Source organism: Homo sapiens, chromosome 3, assembly GCF_000001405.40.
Source record: "Homo sapiens chromosome 3, GRCh38.p14 Primary Assembly".
Lineage (NCBI taxonomy): Eukaryota > Metazoa > Chordata > Mammalia > Primates > Hominidae > Homo > Homo sapiens.
The window spans coordinates 94,014,288-94,042,273 of record NC_000003.12 but is presented as its reverse complement, the minus strand read 5'-3'; the positions used below and the strand labels follow the sequence as shown (position 1 = coordinate 94,042,273).

Sequence of the window (27,986 nt, the reverse complement as noted above, 5' to 3'; positions counted from 1 at the left end):
AGAAAAAATGAATCAATGAACCTCAGGCAAAGGGTTGGGAGAGTGATTTTTTTCTACATCATATTCAATACCACATATCATGATTGACCTTTTACATCTCTGCCGTATTAATACATATTTTTATTTAACTTAGTGTTATTTTCATTTGAGTTTAAGTTAAAATTTTTATTGCCAGCAAAAATGAACTATTATTGAATTATTTTATTTTATTTTTTTTGAGATGGAGTCTCGCTCTGTCGCCCAGGCTGGAGTGCAGTGGCACGATCTCGGCTCACTGCAACCTCCACCCCTCCAGGTTTAAGCAATTCTCTGCCTCAGCCTCCGGAGTAGCTGGGATTATAGGTTCGTGCCACGCCTGGCTAATTTTTTGTATTTTTAGCAGAGACAGGGTTTCACCGTCTTGGCCAGGCTGGTCTTGAACTCCAACCACCTCGGCCTCCCAAAGTGCTGGGATTACAGGCGTGAGCCACCGTGCCTGGCCACTTATTGACATTTTTAATTTTTTTTTAGGAAACTGCCTTTGGTAACCCAATGCCCACTTTTCTATTAGATTCTCATTATTTTCATAGTAATTTGTAAGAGTTCTTTTGTGCATACGTGTCACTAGGACTAGTCACAGAGTCACATAAGACTATGTGTTCTATTTCTCACTAGAGTTTACTTCTTTTCATTTTTGCTTTTTAACTTTGTAGAATAGCTCTTTAAAAATTGGGTAGTATAAGATCTATCCACCTTTTTCCTTTATGATTTGTGGCTTGCTTGTCCTGCTTTGAAATTTTTTCCTCCTCCAAGCACATATAAAGACTTATCTATATTATCTACTAGTAACTTGAAGACTTTCACTTTTTAAAACGTATTTAAGTTTTTGATACTTTTGGAATTTAACTGGGTATACAATATTCAATAATTTTCCTTTTTCTAAATGGTTATTAAGTTGTTCTATTATTTTTTTCTCTCAGATTTGAAATGTTATCTTTATCTTGTACTAAAATGCTCATACATAAATAGGTTTATTAATATTCGTTCCATTGATCTGTCTGTCTCTTCTGGAACCAATACCTTCCAATATCTCACCATTTTAATTATCTGCAGTAATAATAAAAAAAAATGTTAGGTGCTTCTGTACCAAGAAACATGCTAAAAAAGTTTTGTGGGGAAAAAAAGAGAAAATCTGTATGGTTAAAAAAAAAAAACTATAGCTAATTTGCTTTTATTTCTTTACTGGCCATCTTCTTGAAATTGTAGTTTCAAAGCGTTAAGTGTACTTTCCCCATGCCACTTATTAATTTGGGAACTTTCTATATGTGATATATACTATGTCGTACACCACTATTATTCACTTCTATACATTGTGGGAAATACGGTGCTGGGAGAAGCACTAGAGCCTTCTACACAATTTATACCCATGGTACTATAAAATAATTAGCCATTATTTATAAAGCAAGCCTTATTATACACAGAGAATAATTGTTGTTTCAAAGTAAAAAGTACAACTTGACCTCTTCTCTCTCAATATTTTTAAAAGAACATAAAACAAAACTTGACAAATATAATATCTGATAGAATGGAGACAAAAAAAAAAAAAAACCTTCCAGGTAGGACCAGGAAGTCAGCCTAAGGTTTAGGAAGCAATGCCTCAGAAGAGGCATCGCTGCTGCCAGCCATAAAAGCAGAGCCAATGCAAACTCTGGACATGAGCAGAAAATGAAAACAAAAACACAGACGCGCACACACACAACCCCTTAACGTCTTCATAATTAAAATCTACAAATTAATGTTGGTAAAATTTCTGATTTAAAATGGAAATAAATGATATTCAGATATAGGAGAATTTATTGCAGTTTCAAACATCCTTAAGTATCCTGGAAAAATAGAAAATTGTTTATGTACCCTAATGCATTCTAAGTAAATATTGCAGATGGACAGTAACAGCAATACAGAAACACAGAAAATGTAAATAAGAGTAAATATGTTATTACTATATGAAATAAATGACAGAATAGATTTGTCAACACAGCAACTATAATAATTGCTACAGTCAAATTTATTTATTGTCATTTAATTCTGAAGTCATATTCCCCCTTTCACACTAGATTCAAAGGTAATTTAAGAGTAAGAAAAAGCAGTAAACCTTTAATCAGTCTCTCATGTTTAATTTCTTATAGAAATAATCTCTCAGAAGAAACACATCTGTTTCCCTGCCTCCTTTCCCAACTTTCCACCTTCTTTTCCAAGTTCCAACTTATAACTTAAGATACAAAAATTACATTTGCCATCATTCATACCTCAATGATTACAGATGCTATTGGCTGGAAAGGATTCGTTGGTTCTGGGTCCAACTCAGCCAGACCACTGGTTCCATCGAGTTCAGCCTGCTCCTGTTCATTTTGTTTTCTATCGTTTGAGGAAAAATAATTGAAATTTCCTTTGAGAAAGTGCTGAACCATGTTAAAGAAAACTGCAATAGGTATAAGGCTATTACATGTAGTAATTTAAACATCTGGACATGGTTTTGAATTACTGAGAGCATTTCAAAAATCCTTATGCAGGTAAGAGGCTGCTTCCTCCCATGTAAAGACTAATCATTTCAATTAAAAAAATGCTGATAAAAATGACATTTCCTATGAGTGACTTCTTAATATCAACAGTGCAATTATTCTTCCATGTGCCAAGGGTATTACTGATCAACTTATTAATTACCCTCCAAAATCAATGCTGTCCTCTTTACTGGTGTTAACAAATAGTAATTATTCTTTTTTTTTTTTTTTTTTTTTGAGTCGGAGTCTTGCATTCTCGCCCAGGCTGGAGTGCATTGGCACCATCTCGGCTCACTGCAAGCTCCACCTCCCGGGTTCACGCCATTCTCCTGCCTCAGCCTCCTGAGTAGCTGGGACTACAGGCGCCCGCCACCAGGCCTGGCTAATTTTTTGTATTTTTAGTAGAGACGGGGTTTCACCCTATTAGCCAGGATGGTCTCGATCTCCTGACCCTGTGATCTGCCTGCCTCTGCCTCCCAAAGTGCTGGGATTACAGGTGTGAGCCACCGCGCCCAGCCAAATAGTAATTATTCTTATTAATTCTTTTCTTAAGGGCTAAGTCTTCTCTTACAAAACTAGGAAAACATTCCTTCAACTCAACCTATGTTTTTATTTCTGCATAAACATGTTTCTTGTTTAGTATAAAAGAATAAAAGACTAGAATATCTACAGATTGATTCTATAGAAGTATATGACAGAGTAGTAATATAAAATATTTTATCAAGTTGTGTATCATATTTGAACTAGATAATAACTTCCATAATAGTGTTCAGTGGCTATAAAAATAAGTTACCATATGTATCATTCAGATTAAATAAGTATTTCCATATTAGTTACCACTGAACATTTACTATCTCTGTGATTTATAGTAATGTTGTTCCATACATGATGAGTAATGTTATTAAGATGAGCAGCCGGCCGGGTGCGGTGGCTCACGCCTGTAATCCCAGCATTTTGGGAGGCCGAGGCGGGTGGATCACGAGGTCAGGAGTTTGAGACCAGCCTAATCAACATGGTGAAACCCTGTCTCTACTGAAAATACAAAATTAGCCGGGTGTGGTGGTGCATGCCTGTTATCCCCATTACTCGGGAGGCTGAGGCAGGAGAATCGCTTGAACCTGGGAGACGGAGGTTGCAGTGCGCCGAGACTGCGCCATTGCACTCCAGCCTGGGCAACAAGAGCAAAATTCCACCTCAAAAAAAAAAAAAAAAAAAAAAAAAGAGCAGCCAGAGACCAAAAAAAAAAAAAAGAAAGAAACACAAGTATTGTGGATCTTTAACTGGACTGTAAGTATGGTATAGCAATGTAAATGTTCATTACCATAATATTTACTAGCTGTGTTCTAGATGGAAATACATATCCTTTTATTATGAACCTAGGAAGCCAAGATTTGGAGATTTGCAATTTACTACTTCTGTGACTTTGGACCTGGATCTTTTGAGCCTTAGCTTTCCCACAAATGTGAATAAAAATAACCACTTCATAGAGCTGTATCAAGGGTCAGATAAAGTAATATATGTGAGAACACTCTGTGAATTAACTTTCTCATAGGATAGTCATTGTTATTAATTTTATTTATTAGTAAGCAACTTCAGGAATACAGTATTAATATATTATTTTTACTTGGCATGTTTTACTGTTTTTCAAAAACACTAGAAATGACTATCTGAACCAATTAGATTGGATTTAGTGAAGTAAAAAGCTTGTTTTTAATCACCCGTCTCCGAATGTCAATTTGCTTTTAATTATGGAGTATTGGCTCAACAGAAGAGGTCTCCTCAAGAGGAGAGGTCTCAGACCACAACTGGCATGGATAAAGAGAAAGAAAGAAAGGGTAAGGAGTATTGGAAAAGCCTGCCATAACATGATCTAGAATATCATTATGGAAAAGGCAAAAACATTTAAAAAGTTACTAACATTAGATTTCTTTTATCCAACTCAATTTTTTTGTTGCTTCTGTTTTTATTTTCTTAGTGGAGGAAAAGGAGTTTTCACATAATTATGGCCATATATTTAATTTTTATAAATATTATATATAAAAGGTATACTTAACATGCATGATTGGTTGTACTGAGCTTTATATGATAAAAATACATACTAAGAAAAAAACAAATATTCTCACAGGAACTAAAACCTTGTATCAACAGCTGCCAAAATCATTCACTCTAATCTGTCTTTTATATAAAGAGATCCCTAGATGAAAGGCACGCTCATATTATTGAGCACTTGGGGATAGAGAGTCATTTCTATAAATATTTCTTTAAGTCCTATTGATGAATTAAATGAAAAATACCAGTTATCAGAGGATTTCCTTCACGGTATAAGGAAGTACCTCATAATGGGTCACCAAGGGTAGTGAGTTCTTGCTCACTGGGCTACAACTATGTTAAACTACATAAAAGGCCAGATGGAAGGCAACTATGGATCAGATTTTGCTTGAGTTGAATGATTCTCTAGCAGCTCACCTTCTATCCTTGCTGAAACTAAAAAGGTTCCTCAGTCTCAACGTTATTGACATATTAAGCCTGATAATTCTTTGTTGTGGGAGACTGTCCTGTGTGTCATAGGATGTTTAGCTGCATCCCTGGCCTCTACCCAATAGATTCCAAGTAGTACTCCACTCCTTCCCCTAGTGGTGAAAACTAAAAATGTCTCCAGACACTGCCAAATGTTAAAAACTACCCTGTGCATTGAGAACCACTGCACTAAGGTACCCACAAGCAATCAGAGACAAAAATTTAAAACTCTGGAAGACAATGGCTACGTAAGGAGTAAATTTAACTATTATACAACCACCAGAAAAATTAGGAATCTACCACCCAAACTTGTACAGAAAAAGATCCACAGAAATACAAAATTTACCTAGTGTCTTCCTTCACACAGAAAGAAGAAACTGAACAGATAAAACTAACAACTGATTCATAAAATTGTTATGTTTTTGATCCTTCAAATGCACTGTGGTACAAAATTAATCTACTTACCTTTCTTCTCGTAATTTTCGCACTCGTTCAGCTCTTTCTTGTTTCTCTTGTTCCTCAAGAGCACGCTGCTCTGTTGTCTCTTTTTGGATGCGTTCATTTAAGGCATCAAAGTCTCTTGCAATAACATGTAGCAGCCAATAAAGGCCTTTTTTAATGGACTTGTCAATTTTCTTTCCATACCCCGAGATTGCTGAACATGGTTCCTAAAACAGAAATTTATTTGACTAAAAGATTAAAAGGTCTCCACACAAATCTATTCATAAACCATTAAGTATAATTAATGGCAAATCAAAATTAAGCCATTTAAGTTAATAATATGAAGCATCTGCTTATTTAACTTCCAAAACATAGCACTGCAATGATTAACATCAGTATATAGAACTTAAAATATTTTACAGATAACATCTGTACACTATGTAAGATATTATAAAGAAGAGGGTGACAGTGCCACTTATAATATTAGAAGAAAAAATTTAACTACCATAAAAAGACATCTCTATTGATTAAAAATGCCAGGAAGTTTTAATTCCTTATACTACAATATACAGCAGTAAACATCCATAAGATTGACAGCCTAATGTTTTTTGAAACCAAAATAAATTATTAAATCCACTGTTCATCTTCCTTAAGACTGTATGACATCTCTCCTGATATGATTTATCTTTTCTTTTTTTGTTTTTTAGAGGCAGTGTCTCATTCTGTTGGCCAGGCTGGAGTGCAGTGGCTGAATTAGAACTCACTGCAGCCTCAGCCTCCCAGGGTCCAGTGGTCTTCCCACCTCAGCCCCCTCAAGCAGCTGGGACTACAGGAACACACTACCACACCCAGCTAGTTTTTGTATTTTTTGTAGAGCTAGGGTCTCACTATGTTGCCCAGGTTGGTCTCAAACTCCTGGGCTCAAGCAATCTGCCCCCTTCAACCTCCCAAAGTGCTGGGATTACAGGCATGAGCTACCATGCCCAGCAAAATAATTTTTCAAAATTCATTATGAATCTCTCATATGTTTAAATTTTGTATTTACACTTTTCTTTCCCATTTTACAAATTTCATGCCATGATGTGTTGGCTATGTTAAAACGCAAATGTGAAGCTCCTTGAAATCATGGAAAGATAGTTCATGGAAATAACAATGAAATAGACAACAAATATTATGGTATTAAGTTATATCAACAGAAAAATGGGAATGTGATTTCATAGGTTACAAAAAATTCTTTGAAAACATTGCCTTTTAATTGCTATCACTTTTATAAAAACCAAGTTATACTGAACCTATTTGAAAGGACAAAAAATTAAAATTAAAAAAAAAAAAAAAACCTTACTATCTGACACAGGCACTTGTGCTCATTGACCAATTTTTCCAGAGATAGACATTCAATGACATCAGCTTCTCCTAAAGCTCCTTCTTTATCTTGTTTATTTGCCAACCTGAAAGATAATTAAAGTACTTTTATACAGCATATATATAATTGGATGGAAACTTAAAGATATTTTGACCACATTCTTTTTTTTTTTTTTTTTTGAGACTGAGTCTTGCTCTGTTTCCCAGGCTGGAGTACAGTGGTGCAATCTCAGCTCACTGCAACCTCCGCCTCCCAGGTTCAAGTGATTCTCCTGCCTCAGCCTCCAGAGTAGCTGGGACTACAGTTGTGTGCCACCACGCGAGGCTAATTTTTTGTATTTTCAGTAGAGACTGGGTTTCGCCATGTTGGCCAGGCTGGTCTTGAACTCCTGACCTCAAGTGATCTGTCAGTCTCAGCCTCTCAAAGTGCTGGGATTACAGATATCATCCACCATGCCTGGCCTGACCACATTCTTTGATTCCCAAGTTTTAAATGTACTGATTACAGAACACACTAGTATCTTAAAATGTTGTAGCATCAATTTTGTCATTTTTCCCTTATTATTGCTAAAATAGTTTTTAAGTACTGGCCTATAAAAGGAAAATCAAATAAAGTGTCAAGAAAACATAAACAAGAGATCAATATGCCAACAAAACAGAAAAAGCTACAAAACAGAAAAATAAGAGGACTAATTTCCACAGGTCACATCCATAAATTATATTCTTATCTTCTTAAAATACAAACTGTAATGTTTTAAATGCCCAAATATTCATTCTGAACTTTTAATATTTGAGCTCATCTACAATTCTAATGTGTGAATGTGTCCACATAAATGTGCAATTTACTGAAGACCCAAGGCCACTTCTAATATACTTGGCAAAGCACTGGGAATTAAAAAAAAAAAAAAAATTGTACTCAATTAGAGACAAACTGGACACCAACAAAATGGAAAACCAATATATTCTACAGAAAAACAGGATTTACCACAATTTACCACTATTTAATTATATAACATAGATTTAAAAGTTTAATAAAATACTGCCTTGCTCAAAGTTTGACAGACTCTTTAGGTTAAAAAAAAAATTAAGTACATAGACTAAGAAATCTAACGAACCCTTCCCACCTATCTTTAAAAATTATCAAAACTGTGTCATTCTTGCTTATCTATATACCTTCTTTTTTTTTGTATTTCCCAAGTTACCATTAAAATCTACATACCTTCTATTTTGCTGCCTGAATCACATTACTTCACCCAGATATTAAAAAATCATTACCATGATACCACTATCACACCTAACAAAATTAACAGTAAGTCTTCAATATTACTCAATTTACTCAATATTCTCCAATATCATTTTACAAGTGTTATGTTTAAATTCAGGTCCAATATACGTTACTTATCACTTAACTCTTTTTGAATCTATATTATACCTGCCCTCCCCACTACCACCCCCATGACTCTTTTCCTCCCATGACATTTGTAATTTTTCTTTAGAATTCCCATGTTTGGGATTTGGCTAATATCTTCCTTATAAACTTATTTAACATACCTATCCTATATTTCCCGTATCTGGTGGTAAGAAGCTGGATGAGTTTCAGATGAAATCTTTTTGGCAAGCATACTTCGTAGGTGGTGCTTGTATTTAGGGAGGCATATAATATCACTTTTATATAATGTCCTATTTTGGTGGTATAAAATTAACTAATGGATTTACATTTAGCCTGATCCATCCAAAATAAAGTTCCTCATTAATCTTTCACTTAATGATTTTAGCAGCCATTGATGACCTTTACTTAATTCTATTATTTTACCAAAGTTTATGAAACAGTAACTTTATAGTTCCATATTCCTTCTGCATTTACTAGCAGGATTCTTGCTAAAAATAAGCTTTCACCAACTACTTGGTGCCTCTTAAAATTCACAAAGTCAAGATAAATGTTTGATCCTTTGCCTTTATTTCCTGATTTTCAAAATAATGAATTAATGGCGTAGCAACCTCCGAAGGTGATCAGGTTGATTTAAAAAAAAAAAATCCTATAAATTTAAGGATTATGAGTGCAGTTTTGTGATGTAAATGTATTGCATAGTGGTGATATATTGCATAGTGGTGAGGTCTGGGCTTTCAGTGTAACCATAAGCTTAATAATGTGCATTGTAGGTATTAATTTCTCATCTCTAACTCCCCTTCCACCCTCCCACCTGTCCAAGTCTCCAATGTCTATTAATCCACACTCCATGTCAATGTGTACACATTATTTAACTTCCACTTGTGAGAACACGCTAGATTTGACTGTTTCTGAATTATTTCACTTTAAAAAATGACCTCCAGCTCCATCCACGTTGCTGGAAAAAACATGCTTTTTTAAATAGTTGAATAGCATTCCATTTTATGTATGTATATACAAAACACACACACAAACATTTTCTTTCATCATCCATTGAAGGACATTTAGGTTGACTCCCTACCTTTGCTACTGTGAATAATGCTGTGATAAACATCTTGAGTTCAGATATCTTTTCTTGTATAATGATTTCTTTTCCTTTGGATAGGTACCCAGTAGTGAGGTTGCTAGACTGAATGGTAGTTCTTTTTTTAGGTCTTTAAGAAATCTCCATACTGGCCGGGCACGGTGGCTTACGCCTGTAATCCCAGCACTTTGGGAGGCCGAGGCGGGCGGATCACAAGGTCAGGAGATCGAGACCATCCTGGCTAACACGGTGAAACCCCATCTCTACTAAAAATACAAAAAACTAGCCGGGCGTGGTGGCAGGCGCCTGTAGTCCCAGCTACTCGGGAGGCTGAGGCAGGAGAAGGGCATGAACCCGGGAGGCAGAGCTTGCAGTGAGCCGAGATCGCGCCACTACACTTCAGCCTGGGCAACACAGCGAGACTCCGTCTCAAAAGAAAAAAAAAAAAGAAATCTCCATACTGTTTTCCATAGTGATTGTACTAATTTACATTCCAAGAGTGTATAAACATTCCTTTTGCTACACAATCTCGCAGACATCTGCTATGTTTTAACTTTTCAGTAACAGCTAAAAATTCTGACTGGTGTGAGATGGTATTTCATTGTGGTTTTAATCTGCATTTCTCTGATTAGGCATATTGAGCATTTTTTTCATATGCTTGTTGGCCATCTGTATGTCTTCTTTTGAAAAATGACTATTCATGTCTTTTGCACATTTTTAATGGGGTTGTTTTTTGTTGTTGATTTCCTTGTAAGTTTTGGTTATTAGTCTCCTATAGGATAAAGAGGTCGCAAATATTTTCCCTCATTCTGCAGGCTGTTTGCTCCATTGATTACTTCTTTTGCTGTGCAGAAGTTTTTACTTAATAATTAAGTCCCATTTGTCTATTTCTGGTTTTGTTGCTTTTGCTTTTGAGGTCTTAGTCATGAATTATTTGCCTAGACCAATGTCCAGAAGAGTTTCATCAGTTTTCTTCCAGTATTTTTCAGGTCTTACATTAAGTCTTTAATGCACCCTGAGTTAATTTTTGTATATGGTGAGAGACAGGGTTCCAGTTTCATTCTTCTGCATATGGCAATTGAATTTTCCTAGCATCGCTGTACCCATCATCTGGGTTCTCTATTCTTTTCCATTGATCTATTCATCTATTTCTATACCAGTACCATGCTACTTTGGTTACAATAACCTTGTAGTATAATTTAAGGTCAGATAATATGATGCCTCCAGCTTTGTTCTTTTTGCTTAGGACTGCTTTGGCTATTCAGGCTTTTTGGTACTTTTTCTTATTTTGAGAGGCATCATTATGAACTTATGGATTTAAAAATGTATTTGATGTGTTTCAATTTGTTGCAGTTATTGCTCTTTTTAAGGCTCAAAGGTACCCATTTTGAGGCAGCAGGAGTCCCCTTCAGGTTGGCTCTTGGACCCTTTTGGTACAACTCCAACAGTCTTTGATAGCTTCTTTATGTTCTACTATGAAACAAGGTTCCAGACTTGCAATCATCCATTTCCCCAAGAAGCCTTGATCTTTTCAGTGGAAAATGGCATTTTAAAGACTAAAACCTAGGAGTTATAGATAAACATTTGCTATTGACTTACTACTGCTTCTAGGCCCTTTCAGTGCACAAAGCTAGGAAATAGTTTTATTCTAGAAAAAAAAAAAATCTAACCATGTATTCGTGTTGATTTTTTCATTTCAAATCAACTACCAAGTTTTACTTAGCTTCTTAAATCTTGTTTTTGTTTATTTCTTTGAGACAGGGTCTCACTCTGTTGCCCAGGCTTAAGTGCAGAGGTGTGACAACAGCTCACTACAGCCTCTACCTCCCAGGCTTGAGCCATCCTCCCACCTCAGCCTCTCAAGTAGCTGGGACTACAGGCGCATACCACTATGCCCAGCTAGTGTTCGAACGTTCTTTTTTTAAAAAATTATTTTAGCAGAGATGGGGTTTCACTATGTTCCCCAGGCTGGTCTCAAACTCCTAGGCTCAATCCTCCTGCCTCAGCCTCCTAAAGTACTGGATTACAGGCATGAGCCACTGTGCCCAGCCTTAGATCTTATTTGTATCTCTTTTTACTTATGCTGAAAACTACAGTTTCTAATGACATTATTTGTTTTATCCAACTATATATAGGAATTTTAACATAATAATATCAATATGATTACTAAATATTAAGACTACTAAGTGCAGGTTAACATATCTTTGTGGTTACGTATCTTTGTCTCTACGCTATATCCCACTAGAGATGCAGAGTCAATAATACTGTTTTAAAATTACTTAAAATAGTACTTCTCTGTGTGGTTTTGCCATCACCTAGATATATACCTAGGTTCATTTCTTTCTAGGTGCTTTTGCATTTTAGAGATCGTTTGTGTATTTGTTTTAAGATTTAATTTCTAAAATATTTATATCGGCTGGACGTGGTGGCTCACACCTGTAATCTCAGCACTCTGGGAGGCCAATGTGGGTGGATCATTTGTCAGGGGTTCAAGACCAGCTTTGCCAACATGGTGAAACCCTGTCTTTACTAAAAAAAAAAAAAAAAAAAAATGAGCCAGGCGTGGTGGCGTGCACCTGTAATACCAGCTACTCGGGAGGCTGAGGCATGAGAATCGCTTGAACCCAGGAGGCAGAGGTTGCAGTGAGCCGAGATCGCGCCACTGCACTCCAGGCTGGGTGACAGAGTGAGACCCTGTCTCAAAAAATAAAAATAAAAAAATATTTATATGGTTCTAAATTCAGAACTATAAAAACAAGGTACAATCAGAAAGGAACTATTTGCTATCTCTCTGCCTTTTCCTTCCCTTCCCTTATAGGTAACCATTTTCATTCGTGTTTAGTTCATCCTCCCATTATTTCTTTTTGAAAATATAAACAAGCGTATGGAGAAAATGGTATTTCAAGGACCATAATTTGGGCACTGTGAATATTCAATGCTATTGACTGGTTTATGTATTTGTGTATATATACAATATTTATATCTACCCTTCCTTTCTTCCTAAAACTTAGCATATTATATATATTCTTCTGCAGCATGCTTGTTTTAACTGAACAGTAAATTTTGAAGTACCCTGAAGCAGTATAATAAAATCTTCACTATTTTCTATAATTGCAAAATGCTCCCCTTTGAATGTTCCATCATTTATTCAGCCAGTTCTACGCTGAAGGACTTTTGTGTTTCCAGTGTTTTGTTTTTACAAAGAGTGCTATAAAAAGTAGGTGTGTAAAGGAGTCATTTCTTATTTTGAGTACAGATTCCAGGAAGTAGAACTGTTAAAACAAAGAATAAATATAAATGTGATTGGCCGGGCATGGTGGTTCACATCTGTAATCCCAGAACTTTGGGAGGCTGAGGCAGGTGGATCACCTGAGGTCAGGAGTTCGAGACCAGCCTGGCAAACATGGTGAAACCCCATTTCTACAAAAAAATTAGCTGGGCGTGGTGGCAGGCAACTGTAATCCCAGCTACTTATGGGGCTCAGGCAGCAGAATTGCTTGAACCCGGGAGACGGAGGTTGCAGTGAGCCAAGATCGTGCCACTGCACTCCAGCCTGGGCTACAAGAGCAAGACTCCTTCTCAAAAAAAAAAAAAAATAAAAAAAAAATAAATATATATATATATATATATATATATATATATATGATTTTGATAGATACAGCAATTTCCTTCTTCTTGCCCTCAAATAGTAACAAGTCAGGTAGAAAAAATGGGTCTGAAATTTGGTAGTACAAGAGAAATTTTCATTTTTAATTCTTCCTATAAACATTTCCCTCTGGTATAAATTAATTTTGAGTTGTTATATTGACAAAATAAATGATTTAACATATATTGCTGGATAACTTTAGTTCTATATAAAATTTATTTTAAAATAAAAACAGCAGGCATAATAAAAAGTAAAAAAAATTAAAAGTAACGTGGGATGAATGGTTTACAGACATGAGCTCTTTCCTGGATGTTCTCCTTCTGAAATTCTATGATTTTGTGAGCTAAGCTCTTTTGGGATTTCCTAAAATAGGACAGATTTCAACCATTTTAAAGTAAATGGAACAAAAAAAGCTTTTACACCAAGCTTCTTTTCATTCCTATTTAATTCCATATTTTTAGTAAGTTTTGATATCTATAGAAAAGAAAGTAACCTTTGTTTAAATACAAACCCATTTTCTTGGAATAATATATTACATATACAATGTAGGACTAAATTTGCAGATCCAGTGCCAAATACTCTACGTAGGCAGTTTAACGAGGACTTCCTGTTACCGACTAGCTCCAATGAAAATGATCTTCCTTTAATCTAAAGAATAGGCGTCTAACAGGCAGAACCAGATTCTCCAGGTGTGAAGTAAGCAATCTATTTTCACTTGCTATTAACAGCAAACGTACAACTTTATCTCTTATTTGACTTCATTATTTGGCTTTCAAATTAACAACATGAAAACTATACAGAAATTAGTCTGTGCCCTATAAGACAGAGATTTAGATAATTTGTTCAAAACATGAGATGATATTCAGATATTCTCTCAAAGGCAGGACTCCAACACCGCAGGTGGAAAACCAACAAAAGGAAGAAAACAGAAAGGTAAATAATGACTCTTTTCTGTACTTTTTAATATGAGGTATCCATAGACTGACATCTGGTTACACTGTTACATTTAAAAATCACTCAACAAATAATGAGGGTTACTTGTTTTGCTCAGATTTGGACCGGGGTACCAGTAGCTGATTTGTTCACATATATTACTGACATGCTGACTGGGATCTGGGTATAAAGCTCTTGAAAATAGACTACGATAATAAAAATCAACTTTAGAGGAAAGAAAAAATTTTTAAGTCTTTTAAAAAGTAAGCTCTCATTTAAAAAATACTAGAAAGTCAGATGTAAAAACAGATCTAAAATTATTTCTTTTATAGACAGACTATGAATGTGCTTACTTTAGAGAACATTTTTATATTTCACTCTGAAAAGCAGCTTATACCCAAATTTGACACATACGTATAACCTTAAAAATCTGAAATAATTTGCTATAATGGTCTTAATTGCTTCATTGTTGTTTACTAGAATCTTCTAAAATTGAAAAAATGAGAAAATAATCTTGTGAAAGGGCTACCAGAAAATATCGAAGTACTCACTAACCTTTATAATATTTCAACTAGTACATTAAAAATACTTGTTATACCATTTAACGTAAGTGTTAGCATTTAATTGATAGTTTGAAAAATTTAAATCAGCATCATTTAAATACAACATATGTAGATAGGTTAGATACTTTCAAAGTTATAATTGTTACTATGTTAGAATTTAATAAATATTCCATTTCAAATCAAAATAATAATGACTTTTATATGTATTTTAAAGGTGGACTTGAGAATTGGCCACGTAATACCTCGAACACATTATCTTCACAGCTATGCAGTTTTAAATGTAATATAAAAATCATTTTATGTATGTACAGCTTACTTGAATCAGATAAAAGTTCAAAAATTATACATCATATTTAAACAAAAATGATCTTAATGTTGTTATACAAGTTAATTCAATAAGTTATTTAGACTAAATAAAATGTAGAAAAAAGCATTGAAAGTTTACATTGCAAAAAAAGTCAGATACTTCAAAATTAGACAATATATGCAATTTGCAATTTTTTTTTAGTTTTTAGAAACTACTATTTGGCCCTCACTTTAGTAGCCAAAGAGGTTAATATATTACAATAAGATCCTCTGCTTTCACTTGCACTAGAAAAATGTGGCAAGTTGACTTCATATACAAAAGCAACAGAATATTCTGTTTTCTCTTGGGTAAAAACTGGTCATATTTCTTGAAATGTTTTATTTAATCATTACAGTAACTATGAAAAGAAATGGCCTACTTTAAAAAAATCTATAAATACACTAAGTATCTATCCCAGGGCATATTTCTAAAAGTACAAGGTAATTTTTACTCATGTTTCTGTTTCTAGGGATTTTCAGTGTCTGTAATAGGGCAGAGAACCTTTTATTTGAGTCGCACCAGTTTACTTTTCTATTTCCCAGAACAAGTTGTCCAAGTTGATTATCATACATACGAGTTAGTGTTCTTTCTTTTTTAAATATCATGTTTAAGCTCACAGATACAGTTCTTGCTAGTAAAATTCAAAACTGTATAGCAATGCTGCAAGTTAAACATAATAAAAGATGATTCATATTTGTATATAACTCTTCCAACATAATAAATTTAAGGTACATAACAGACTGCATAAAATAGTAATTTCATCAATTTCACCTAGTCTAAGCAATTAAATGATTTCACAACTATGAGCTTCATATTTTATGCTTATATGAATCCTGTCCTTGCATGTTTTAAATTCTAACATGCTTATTTGTCTCATTTTGCCTAACATTCTAATTCATGAAGATATAAGATCAATAAATTGGATAGTTATACATATAGTTATGAGTATGCAACTACTAGAAAATGTAATTTATATACAGCATATAAACATATTTGAGTACCTATCAAGTCAATTTCTACACAGATGAACAAGGATTTAGGGAAACATTCTCAATTATGTTAATTCTATAAAGATAAGCAACTGTGACTTTCAGTCAAAATGCACAGATACAGAAGTTACTCCCTCTTTCTCTAAACATACAGAATTTGATGTAATCGTAAGTTTAAAAAAGACAAATTTTAAAACAACATCACTAAATTTTAGAGTAAAAAAGCGAAGTTTTCTCCTGGCTCACACGGTGAAACCCCATCTCTACTAAAAATATAAAAAGTTAGTCGGGTGTGGTGGCGGGCGCCTGTAGTCCCAGCTACTCTGGAGGCTGAGGCAGGAGAATGGCGTGAACCCGGAAGGCGGAGCTTGCAGTGAGCCGAGATGGTGCCACTGCACTCCAGCCTGGGCGACAGAGAGAGACTCCGTCTCAAAAAAAAAAAAAAAAGAGAAGTTTTCAGGTGCCAGAAATGATGAGGAAACATACTTAAAGCCAAAGTGAAGAGTAGTAATTAAAGCTAATTACACTGGGCAAATACTTTACCTTAAAGCTGAGGTTTAGAGTTTGTTGCATTATAGGGAACTAAAACTGAGTTTCCTAGATGAAACAGTTAACTAGGAATAATACAACATAATCTGTATACAAAGACAGGAATAACTCTGTTGACTTGCCCAGGATTATAGCAGGAAGTGAGATATCCACTTAGGCTATAAAAATCACTAGAGAAAAATTAGGCCTACATAATACTACCTGGGCTACAAGGGGCAAACTCCATGGGGCGTTGGTAGTGACAATCAAAAAAATAGCCTCAATGTATCCATAATTGATCAGGACACTCAGAGCATTCTTGTATAACTCCCCAATGAAGCTAGGCTACTGACGAATTTCACTAAATACACTTGCCCACATTTAACAGAGTGGTCACCAGTCCGTGGCCACAGCAAACATAGGAATTTACTCCTAAGAAACTAGAAATAACCTAATAATGTAAAGGATCTTTCACATAAATATTCTCTAAATGTTCAAAAGAAATACAGGCATAGGATCCATAAACCAAGACAAACACAGTATAACCTTTATAGCTCACTTTAAACATCGTTTACATAATACGCATTGCCATGATGTATAACACTGAAAGGAAACCTGATTCTATTTCCATGTTTTGCCTTTAATATCAATAATGTATACAGATATTAAAAAAAGGATATTTTGTTTTTTGCTTGTAAATTCATTAAGATTAATAAAAAGGACATATTAATATATTTTAAAGGGCTCCTTAAAGTACCTTTTATTCAAATATAAAAGTGTGGTGCATGTTCAGGGAATGATATTACATGGATAAAAATCCAGGAAAAAAACAACCTTTATAGAGGTCAGACTCAAATATCCTGCTTTCCAAAATCAGTGGCAGTAAAATGCACCTTCTCAAAGGCACTTCACAGGAAAATTCACCTTCCCAGAGGCCTGTGTACACTGTGCTCCAATAGCAATTTGAAATAGTCTATTTCTTAAAAATTTTTAAACTATGATGCTTTAGAAAAAGGCTTTTGATTACTTTATTTCTAATTTTTTTAAAAAAGAGGCTGGGTGCACTAGCTCATGCCTATAATCCCAGCACTTTGGGAGGCGGAGGTGGGAAGATTGCTTGAGCCCAGGAGTTAGAGATCAGCCTGAGCAACACAGCAAGACCTCATCTTTACAAAAAATTTTAAAAAATCAGCCAAGCACAGTGGCATGCAACTGTAGTCCCAGCTACTCGGGAGGCTGAGGGAGAAGGATCACTTGAGCCTGGGAGGTAGAGGCTGCAGTGAGCCGCAATTGAGCCACTATACTCTAGCCTGGGTGATAGAGTGAGATCCTATCTCAAAAATAAAACAAAACAACACGCCCAAAAAAGGACAAAGATCTTTCCAGTCATAAAAACATTAGAGGGAGTTGTTTCAGGATTTGTTCCAAACCATGCAACCAAAGAGAAAGTTCAAGATGTTGTAGTTCTTGAGGAATGTGAAAATTAAAGATTGTTAAAAGCTACTGAACCATTGTATAAATATAGGACTTAATTTTTATGGATAGAAAATCAAAATCTGTTTTGTTTGATGCCACTTTCTCTTTCTCTCGCCTCTGAGCTTCTAACATTGTTACTCTTTCTTTTTCCCTATATTTACACGGGTGCAACCCAGTTTAAAAAATAATAATGTGGCAACTAGCACTTCAGCTATATATGCTGTATTTTTAAGAATTCATAGTCAAGGTGGAAGGATCCCTTGAGGCTAGGAGTTCAAGACCAGCCTGGACAAAAGAGCGAGATCCTTTCTCTATTAATTGATTAATTAATTAATTTTTAAAAAACAATTCATAGTGACAAGCTAGTACAAGAGAAGGAAACAGAAATTTGGTTAGATGACTATGAGTTGAAGCAGAAGAAAATATAAGAATATCAATCTCCATATAGTACCAAATATAAAATGCAATATTTCTTAGACTTTCTGTAAACATCAGTCTGTGAGATCCAAATTATTTTTCTTCTTTTATAGTGTAAAGTGATCAATTTGGTCTGATTATATTAAAGATCCTAATAAAGCTTCAAACAACAACATTATTTTAGATCCTATATGCTATATTATCTCCTGCTAAATTTTTTCTTTTAAATAGATATAGTATGTATATTAGTAACATAATACAGTATTTGATATAGATAAACATTATTTGTGTATATTTCACTAGGATAACCAATTTCTACTCAATAGACAATAGGGGAAAAAGAACAGATTTGCAATCAAGTAGATATGTCTAAACGTAGGATCTGCCACCTTTTAGTTGTGTGGCCTTAGGCAAGTCACTTTAAAATTCCCCTTATTTGGACGTTGCTTTTCTTGGACTGGACTGTTTCTTTAATTTTCTTAATGTCTGAAAGGCCATGAAAATAATACAAAGAAAATGGAGAAAATAAAGTTCTTAAAGAAATTATTTAAAAAAAAAGCAAGACCGTAAATACATGAGTTTCTAGGTTGAAAAGACCAACTATATGTTTACCAAATAAATGCATCAAGACCTACCCCAGATCACATTGTTGTGAAATTTCAGAACACCAGGAATATGAAAAAAAGGTCAAGAATTTCATGAAAGGAAATATAAAAACAGATCTACAAAATATCAGAAAACACAGGGCAGAATATTCAGAGGTAACAAAACTAGAAGATGTAGTAACAAAACTTTCAAAATTTTGAGGGAATATAATTTCCAACTGAAACTTATATCCACAGAAAATATAGTATTCAAGTATAGGACAGAATAAAAATATTTTCAGTAATGAAAATTATCATTGCATTTATGTTTTGAAAAGGAGCTATGGTACACTCCCAAATCAAGGAGATAAACCAAGAAAGGTGAGGAATTGGAAATCAAAAATAGAGAATATAAAAGAGGAAGAAAATTCTAACACAATCAGGTTACATTAGAGTTTCCAGGAAAGGAGCCTCAAAAGATGAATAAAATGAAATAAAAATATATATATTCTATATTTAAATATGTCAAGAGGATATGTTCAATTCACTTCAGTTTTAGAATGAATTAGTGATGTATGTACAAAATTAAGCAGGTGAAAAACTTTGGTAATTAATATTTTCTTAAAATTAAATGTTATATGTTTCTTGATCTATGTGGTAGTTACATGGATGTATTTACTTTGTGAAAAATCACCATAATATACATTTATGTTCTGGGGGACTTTCTGTATATATAAATATGTCAATAAGAAGTTTTCTTAAATATATTCATTTTCTATCTCTATCCATTGAAAAAACTTAGAAATAATTTAAAAAATTATTTGAGAAAGGAAATACAGCTACAGTACCTTAGGTGACTCACATATAAATAATATTTGGGTAGTCACAATAATGTAAACACAAAATATTGATTAACCAAAATTTGTGATATAACTGTATTAAAAGGGGGAAGGTGAGGGAAGAATGGGGGTGTGAGAGAAGATTAAATCCACATCTTCCATAGAAGAAATTCAATAAAATAACTAAAACCAAAAAAGCAGCCGGGTGCGGTGGCTCACACCTGTAATCCCAGCACTTTGGGAGGCTGAGGCGGGTGGATCACTTGAGGTTAGGAGTTCAAGACCAGCCTGGCCAACATGGTAAAACCCCATCTCTATTAAAAATACAAAAATTAGCTGTGCGTGGTGGCAGGCGCCTGTAATTCCAGCTACTCAGGAGGCTGAGGCAAGGAGAAATCACTTGAACCAGGGAGGAGGAGGTTGCAGTGAACTGAGATCACACCATTGCACTCCAGCCTGGGTGACAACAGCGAAACTCTGTCTCAAAAAAAATAAAATAAAATAAAACTGAAGAAGCAAAAATACCTACACATGCAAATTACCTAGAAACAGGAGTTTAGATGCAACATATAGCTAAGGAGCTGAAAATGACTGCCTTTATGACTGTCTTTAAGGAATGGAGAATTGGAAAGGGGATGTGGTACGGCAGGTAAGGGTCAGATATATATCTTTAGAAGCCTTGACATGACTTGACTTGTTAACCTGTGTACATGCATTATTAATTTGAGGGAAAAAATAACATTTTTAAAAAGCTTATTTAAAAAGCTTATGGCTATATTAAATGCGACATGGTATCTTCAACACTTTGGGGAATAATTTATTTTCAGCATCAATATAGTAATACTAGAAAGAGCTTATAGATTAGGGAGTCATAAATACCACTAAACCACAAAATGAACACTAGGAAGCTATACAAGATAAATTACTAAGCCAACCTACTTTAACATCAAATTTTCTCTATACTGAAAAGAAGACTAGTTCTTATCAGATGTATATAATAAAACATGGGTGATAATTCTGCTTTCACAAAGTTGCCACATGGTAAAAAGTTTCCACATTACTTCCCAATAGTTTTACATGTCTTTAAGTATCTATACCTGGATAAGCATCAAATATTTTATACAATATTTGGCCAGGCATGGTGGTTTGTACCTGTAATCCCAGCACTTTGGGAGGCTGAGGCGGGCAGATCACTTGAGGTCAGGAGTTCAAGATGAGCCTGGCCAACATGGTGAAACCTTGTCTCTACCAGAAATACAAAAATTATCTGGGCATGGTGATGGGCACCTGTAGTCTCAGGAACTCGGGAGGCTGACGCAGGAGAATCGCTTCGAACCCAGGAGGTGGAGATTGCAGTGAGCTGAGATCATGACACTGCACTCCAGCCTGGGTAACAGAGCGAGACCCTGTCTCAAAAAAAAAATTATATATATATATATATAATAATATTAAACACGAAAGACAAAAACAACTTTTTAACACCTAAAACTGGCAATTCTTTCTATAGTATCGTCTAATATTCCTCCTGACTAATCTTCCTTTCATAATTGTTCCAGGTTTAGTATCATTCATAGCTCATTTTTTTCCTTGGATCTTATAGAAACACTAGCTTTGGTTAGCTCTACTCTGAAGGTAGAGAAACTGTTCCTTGCCAGTAAAGTAGAATATAGACAATAAAAATATGCAGAGGAAGAGGCGTATGGAATCTCCTTCCAGCTTAGAAGTCCCCTATTTACATAAATTGTACTGACTGAACTTTTTTACCTTTACTATAGCAAATCAGTGGCAAAAACAAAAGATTACCGGCTATTTGAATTAAGTATTTAAAATAGGTGAAATAAATAGTAGAATGCTTTAAGTGCATTTCAGCAACAAAAACTTGCTCTTAAATGTTTCCCACCGGTACTTAAAATGCTCAGCAATATAGTCATGTGGCAATAAAGTAATACAGCAAATGTTTCCGAATAAACTTTTAATATCTATAAAACACCTTTTCCTGACACAAACAGATTTCAAGGTCTTATCCCTTGTGATCTGGCTCTTTTCCCAACCACTTAACTGACCTAATTGCCTCTTTTCAGAACTCACCCTAAATGATCTAACACCACTGAAAAACCTTCATAGCATAGTAAAGCTATGCTATGTCATAGTGAAGTTACTATGCTCTAGTATGCTATACTGTCGTATAAAGAGTTGAGTCCTTCAAACTATACTGCCAGAATCTGAATCTCAACTCTACCACTAGCTGACAACATGGTTCAATTACTAAAGCTGAGATCGTAATTTCATTATCTATAGAATAGAGATCATGACAATACTTGTTCTTATAAGAACATAAAACACACTTAGTGCCTGGCACATATTAAGAGCTCAAGTAAATCTAAGATATCAAGATCTCAACATAAGAACTCAAGTAAATATAAGACTCATCAAGGTGCTGGGAAAGAATAAAGACCCTCTACTTTCTCCTCTAAGTATTAACTCTATGAGGTACCAGAATGAATAAAAACCCTTGATCTCATGGAGTTAATACTGGGAGGAGAAAGTAGACAATTAAGTTAATATAAATAAGTAAAATACATGGTATGTTAAATAGTGAAAAATGCTAAGAAAAATAAAGCTGGGAAGGGTCAGAGAGTTGAAAGAAGGTATAGTTCAAAATAGGGTGACAAAGAACATCCTAACTCAGGAGTGACATTTCAGTAAGGACTGGGTTGGGGAAAAACGTCACATACTACATGGGAAAGAACACTTCAAATAGAAGAGAAGGCAAGTGCCAAGGCCCTAAAGCCAGATGGTGCCAGATTTGTGTGAGAACAGCAAGGACAGTGAGACTGAAGCAGAGAAAGGGAGAGTTGTAGGAGGTGAGGTCGGAGGGGTAACAGAAGGGGTGAAGTCATTGTGGAGCTTTGTAGGCTCTAGTTTTTCCTCTAAGAGATAATGCCAAAGGAGGATTTTAGGCACAGGAATGACATGGTCTGACCTACATTTTAACTCTGAATTCTGTGTTAAGAAAAGACCAGAGGTTTTGTGGTGGGGGCAGGATGGGGGGTAGTTGGTGCAAAAAGGAAACAAGGAGAACACTTAGGAGACTATCGTTAACAATCAAGATGAAAAATAACAGGGACTTGACCAGTTGCGGTGGCTCATGCCTGTAATCCCAGCACTTTGGGAAGCCAAGATGGGCGGATCATGAGGTCAAGAGTTCAAGACCAACCTGACCAATATGGTGAAACCCTATCTCTACTGAAAATACAAAAATTAGCCAGGCATGGTGGCATGTGCCTGTAGTCCCAGCTACTCGGGAGGCTGAGGCAGAAGAATCGATTGAACCTGGGAGATGGAGGGTGCAGTGAGCCAAGATTGTGCCACTGCACTCCAGCCTAGGCAACAGAGGGAGACTCTGTCTCAAAAATAAAAAATTAACAAAAATAACAGGGACTTGAACCAGGGAGATGGTAAGAGGTGGCTAGATCCAAATACATTTTGAAAGAGATGTTGACAAGATTTGCTGTGCTTGCATATGAAATGTAGAAAAAAAAAGTCAAGAATGACTTCCAGCCAGGCGCGGTGGCTCACAGCTGTAATCCCAGCACTTTGGGAGGCCGAAGAGGGCGGATCGCCTGAGATCAGGAGTTTGCGACCAGCCTGGCCAACATGGTGAAACCCTGTCGTTAATAAAAATACAAAAATTAGCTGGGCGTGGTGGCACATGCCTGTAGTCCCAGCCACTCGGGAGGCTGAGGCAGGAGAATTGCTTGAACCCGGACGGCGGAGGTTGCAGTGAGCCGAGACCACACCACTGCACTCCGGCCTAGGGGACAGAGTGAGACTCGGTCTCAAAAAACAAACAAAAAAAGACTTCTGAGTCTCTGGTCTGAGCAACTGGAAAAATAGAGTTGCCAGAAGAGAGATGGGGCAGTTTACGGGTTCACAGGAAGATTATGAGCTCATTTTGGATAGAGGCATTCAAATGCAGCTGTCAGGTAGGCAGTTTTTTAAGAGCAACCTAAACTGGAGATACAAATTTGGGTCATCAGCTTACAAACAGCATTTAATGCCATGAGACTAAAAAATGATGATGGATAAAAATGAGACTCAGTCTAAAATCTTCCAATATTTACAGGTGGGGGAGATAAGGAGTAGCCAGGAAAAAGAAAATAGTGATAAAGGAAGAGCCAAAAAGGTAAGAGAAAAAAAACAGGAGAAATACTTTTCTTCAAAGTGTCTCAAGAAATGATTGTGTTAAGTGCTGATGGGTTAAAATCATCAAGTCCTATTGCTTCTAGTTTCAAAAATATATCCTGATGGTTCCCATTTACTCCATCTCTATCATTAAAGTCTCTTCTGTGAACTACTCCCACCCCCTCCCCAGGAAACTATTCTCTATATAGAAAGCAACAACATCTTTTAAAAATATAAATCAGGGCCAGGCATGGTGGCTTATGCCTGTAATCTTAGCACTCTGGGAGGACAAGGCGAACAGATGGCTTGAGCCCAGGAGTTCAAGACCGGCCTGGACAACATAGGGACACCCCTGTATCAGTTTAAAATTTTTTTAAATTACATATCAAAATGAAAAAATATATACAAATCATGTCAATATCCTATTTATCTTTTAACTGTCTTCTACTGCACCTAGAATAAAATCTAAACTCCTTCCTTTGGCCCACAAGTCCTTTATGATGTGGTCCATGCCTACCTTTCTACTTCATTCTTCCCATGTTACTCCTCTCATTCCTTTCTATCTACATTCACTTTGTTCTTATGCAATAACTCTGTTCCTAAAACATATCAGTCTCATTCACTGCCTTGGCAACCCAACTCCTAGACCTACAATACACTCCCTCGGCTCTTCATCTGCCTGGCTTCTCAACATTCAGTCTCACATCTCAAATATCTGCTTAGAGACCCTGCCTGATTATTGTATCAAAACCTAAAATTATCCCGTTTATCTTTTAAATTGTATATTGTCCTTCTCACCCTAAATTATAAATTCCTCAAGGACAGAAAATGTTAAATATATATTACAGCATTTAAAACTTATATACATATAAGACTTCAATGACTATTTCACAAAATACCAGTCCTTTAAAACCAAAGGAATATTACCAGGACATTGGTTTAACCTTTTACCCAAAACAGGCATCATTTCTGTAACATGCCTGCCTGGAGTCATCATTCCAGAACATCTTGAAAATGTCCAGTGATGGCAAACTCAGCACCTCATGAAGCAGCTCATTTCATCTTGGGAAAGCAATATTTGTTTGAAAAGTCTTCTTTATATTGAATCAAACCTCTTTCCATGTAATTTCCACCCACTGCCCTTTGGAGTTATGCCAAGTAAGTCTAATCTCACTTGCATACACAGACCTTTGTTTAGAAGACAGCTGTATACACACCCTACATCTTCTCTTTTACAGGACAAATATTACCATTTATTTCAATGAGTCTCCATTTGGTATGGTTTTCCAATCTCATCCTTTCCATGCTAGTCTGGTAATTCCTAACTTAAGAACTTCCATCTCAAAATATGCTCAGAAGTTTATTGAGTTCCCCTTACCCTTGCAATTTGCTCTGAATAGCATAGAGTTGGCAGAGTTTAGTCTATCCATACATCAGACTATTATTTATAAAAGCATAGTGACTATTCTGATGGTTCTGACAGAAAGCTTAATTAGGCTGGGAGCGGTGGCTCACACCTGTAATCCCAGCACTTTGGGAGGCCAAGGTGGGCGGATCACGAGGTCAGGAGTTTGAGACCAGCCTGGCCAATATGGTGAAACCCTGTCTCTACCAAAAATACAAAAATTAGCCGGGCATGGTGGCAGGCACCTGTAATCCCAGCTACTCAGGAGGCTGAGGCAGGAGAATCACTTAAACCCGGGAGGCAGAAGTTGCAGTGAGCTGAGGTCGCACCACTGCATGCCAGCCGGGGCATCAGAGCAAGACTCCATCTCCAAAAAAAAAAAAAAGAAAGCTTAATTAATTAAAATCTCCAATACTTTCATAGACACTATTGTGAACCCAAGGGTCTTCTACTCTGTAGATACGAAAATATTTTTCTTATAGCTAGATGAAATATTTTAAATCTATTCCTGTTAAATATATTTTTGTTATTTTTAGTATAAAGTTCCACACTATTTTAATATTTGAATCCCTACCCTGTACTTCAACATACTAAAGATTCCTCCAAATTTTACACCATCTACACATTTGTTAAGTATGCCTCCTATGACAACATCCAGATTAATAGAAATATTTCCATAAACATATCAAACACTGAGTCCTACAGCATAACAGCATCACATTCAGAGACCTTTTTTTTCTGGTTGATATTAATATTATATGTGGTCCAATGAGCTATCTGTACTCCCTAACAGCCTCTTCTTATCTTCAAAAATGTCTTGAAAGACATTTCTAAAATCAAGTTGCTCTGTGATAATAGCATTTTACTGCTTTTTATTCCCTTCATTTTATATGTATGTATGTCATTTCATATATATCTATATCATTAAATATAAATTATGTACATCAATTTGATTCTTACAGATAACTACCAACACAGCATGTGATAAGTGTCAATATCATTATTACTCCTAAAATAAGATTGTATATAAATATATTCTCATGTTTATAAAAGTATCACCTAACACAAATTGATATAAATTTTGTTCTAAGACAGTCTGGATATCTTTGCAAAAGAATGCTAAGAATGAGAAATCAGCATAATCAAACCAATGTTTTCACATATATGCAACAGCTAGAAAAAACATTATGCCAAGTAATACGTTAATTCAGAGGCTTCGGAAAATTTAAAATAAATTCAATATTATCCATATAGCTTAACGTTCTCATATAAAATCTGTACTGTCACTACAATGGTTTTAACTGAATGATGCATATTTAGCAAAATGAGTATTTTTTAATATTACATTGGCCAAATTAACCGGAAACAGTATCTTTAGTAACAAGGGCATTTTTGGCATCTGAAGACTAATCCTATAGGTTGAAGGTATAGTCAAAAGCATTCTTTATTACAAAAAAAAACTATCATGTGACAAATATTTTTGACCAACTGTGTCTGCATCACTGCTTTCTCAGCTATTGCACACAACTAAATAGCACTCACATGCAAAGTAACTTACAAATTATTTTATATTTCTTTCCCTATTTAAATGGTTTTTATGAGGAAACTCATTGGTTTTTTCTAACTTTTTAACCTCATTTGAGAAAACTAGGAGAACTTTTGCTGGGATATAGACAGTTATGTGAAGTCAACTGCTACTGGGGAAAAATACCAAATTTCTACTTGTTCAACACAAAAATTTTTGCTTCTTAGGAGGAAAGGGAAGATGAAAGACCGACTTCAAGAACTAAAGCAGAGAACAAAGGAAATTGAACTCTCTAGAGACAGTCATGTATCAACTACAGAAACAGAGGAACAAGGGGTGTTTCTACAGCAAGCTGTTATTTATGAAAGAGAGCCTGTAGCTGAGAGACACCTACATGAAATCCAAAAACTACAGGAAAGTATTAACAATTTGGCAGATAATGTTCAAAAATTTGGGCAGCAACAGAAAAGTCTGGTGGCTTCAATGAGAAGGTTTAGTCTACTTAAGAGAGAGTCTACCATTACAAAGGAGATAAAAATTCAGGCAGAATACATCAACAGAAGTTTGAATGATTTAGTTAAAGAAGTTAAAAAGTCAGAGGTTGAAAATGGTCCATCTTCAGTGGTCACAAGGATACTTAAATCTCAGCATGCTGCAATGTTCCGCCATTTTCAGCAAATCATGTTTATATACAATGACACAATAGCAGCAAAGCAAGAGAAGTGCAAGACATTTATTTTACGTCAGCTTGAAGTTGCTGGAAAAGAGATGTCTGAAGAAGATGTAAATGATATGCTTCATCAAGGAAAATGGGAAGTTTTTAATGAAAGCTTACTTACAGAAATCAATATCACTAAAGCACAACTTTCAGAGATTGAACAGAGACACAAGGAACTTGTTAATTTGGAGAACCAAATAAAGGATTTAAGGGATCTTTTCATTCAGATATCTCTTTTAGTAGAGGAACAAGGAGAGAGCATCAACAATATTGAAATGACAGTGAATAGTACAAAAGAGTATGTTAACAATACTAAAGAGAAATTTGGACTAGCTGTAAAATACAAAAAAAGAAATCCTTGCAGAGTACTGTGTTGTTGGTGCTGTCCATGCTGTAGCTCAAAATAAAGAAGCTATTTTAAAACTTTTTCCAGCTTTACGGTAAAAGATAGCTTATATTTCAGTGTCTTGTATTGTTTTTCTCCATCTCATGGATCCACTCACA

The 27,986-nt window shown here is 35.4% G+C and overlaps 2 protein-coding genes across 16 annotated transcripts in view; one reads left to right on the top strand and one right to left on the bottom strand.

The window, feature by feature from the left end:
- Positions 1–27,986, bottom strand: part of ARL13B (ARF like GTPase 13B) — a 75,524-nt gene that overhangs the window by 13,405 nt on the left and 34,133 nt on the right. For 13 of the 14 annotated variants that reach the window (NR_135621.2, XM_011512533.3, XM_011512535.3 and 10 more), the window contains 3 exons: positions 6,838–6,943; positions 5,520–5,722; positions 2,286–2,394 (listed from right to left, as the gene is read on the bottom strand). Coding sequence is in view for 12 of the 14 variants with exons in the window: in XM_011512533.3 (XP_011510835.1) it covers positions 2,286–2,394; positions 5,520–5,722; positions 6,838–6,943 (418 nt within the window). In the remaining 2 variants the exon portion in view is untranslated. Of the gene's footprint in view, positions 1–2,285; positions 2,395–5,519; positions 5,723–6,832; positions 6,944–27,986 lie in introns of all 14 variants that reach the window. The other variant, NR_033427.2, reaches the window with a different exon arrangement.
- STX19 (syntaxin 19) lies at positions 13,677–27,909 on the top strand. 2 transcript variants are annotated; one of them, XM_011512842.3, is made up of 3 exons: positions 13,677–13,907; positions 23,776–23,835; positions 26,992–27,909. In XM_011512842.3, exon 3 carries the CDS (start codon positions 27,005–27,007, stop codon positions 27,887–27,889), a length of 885 nt encoding a protein of 294 aa, XP_011511144.1. In that variant the 5' UTR covers positions 13,677–13,907; positions 23,776–23,835; positions 26,992–27,004; the 3' UTR covers positions 27,890–27,909. The 2 variants fall into 2 exon arrangements, with proteins under 2 accessions (XP_011511144.1, NP_001001850.1); NM_001001850.3 differs by lacking the exon at positions 23,776–23,835.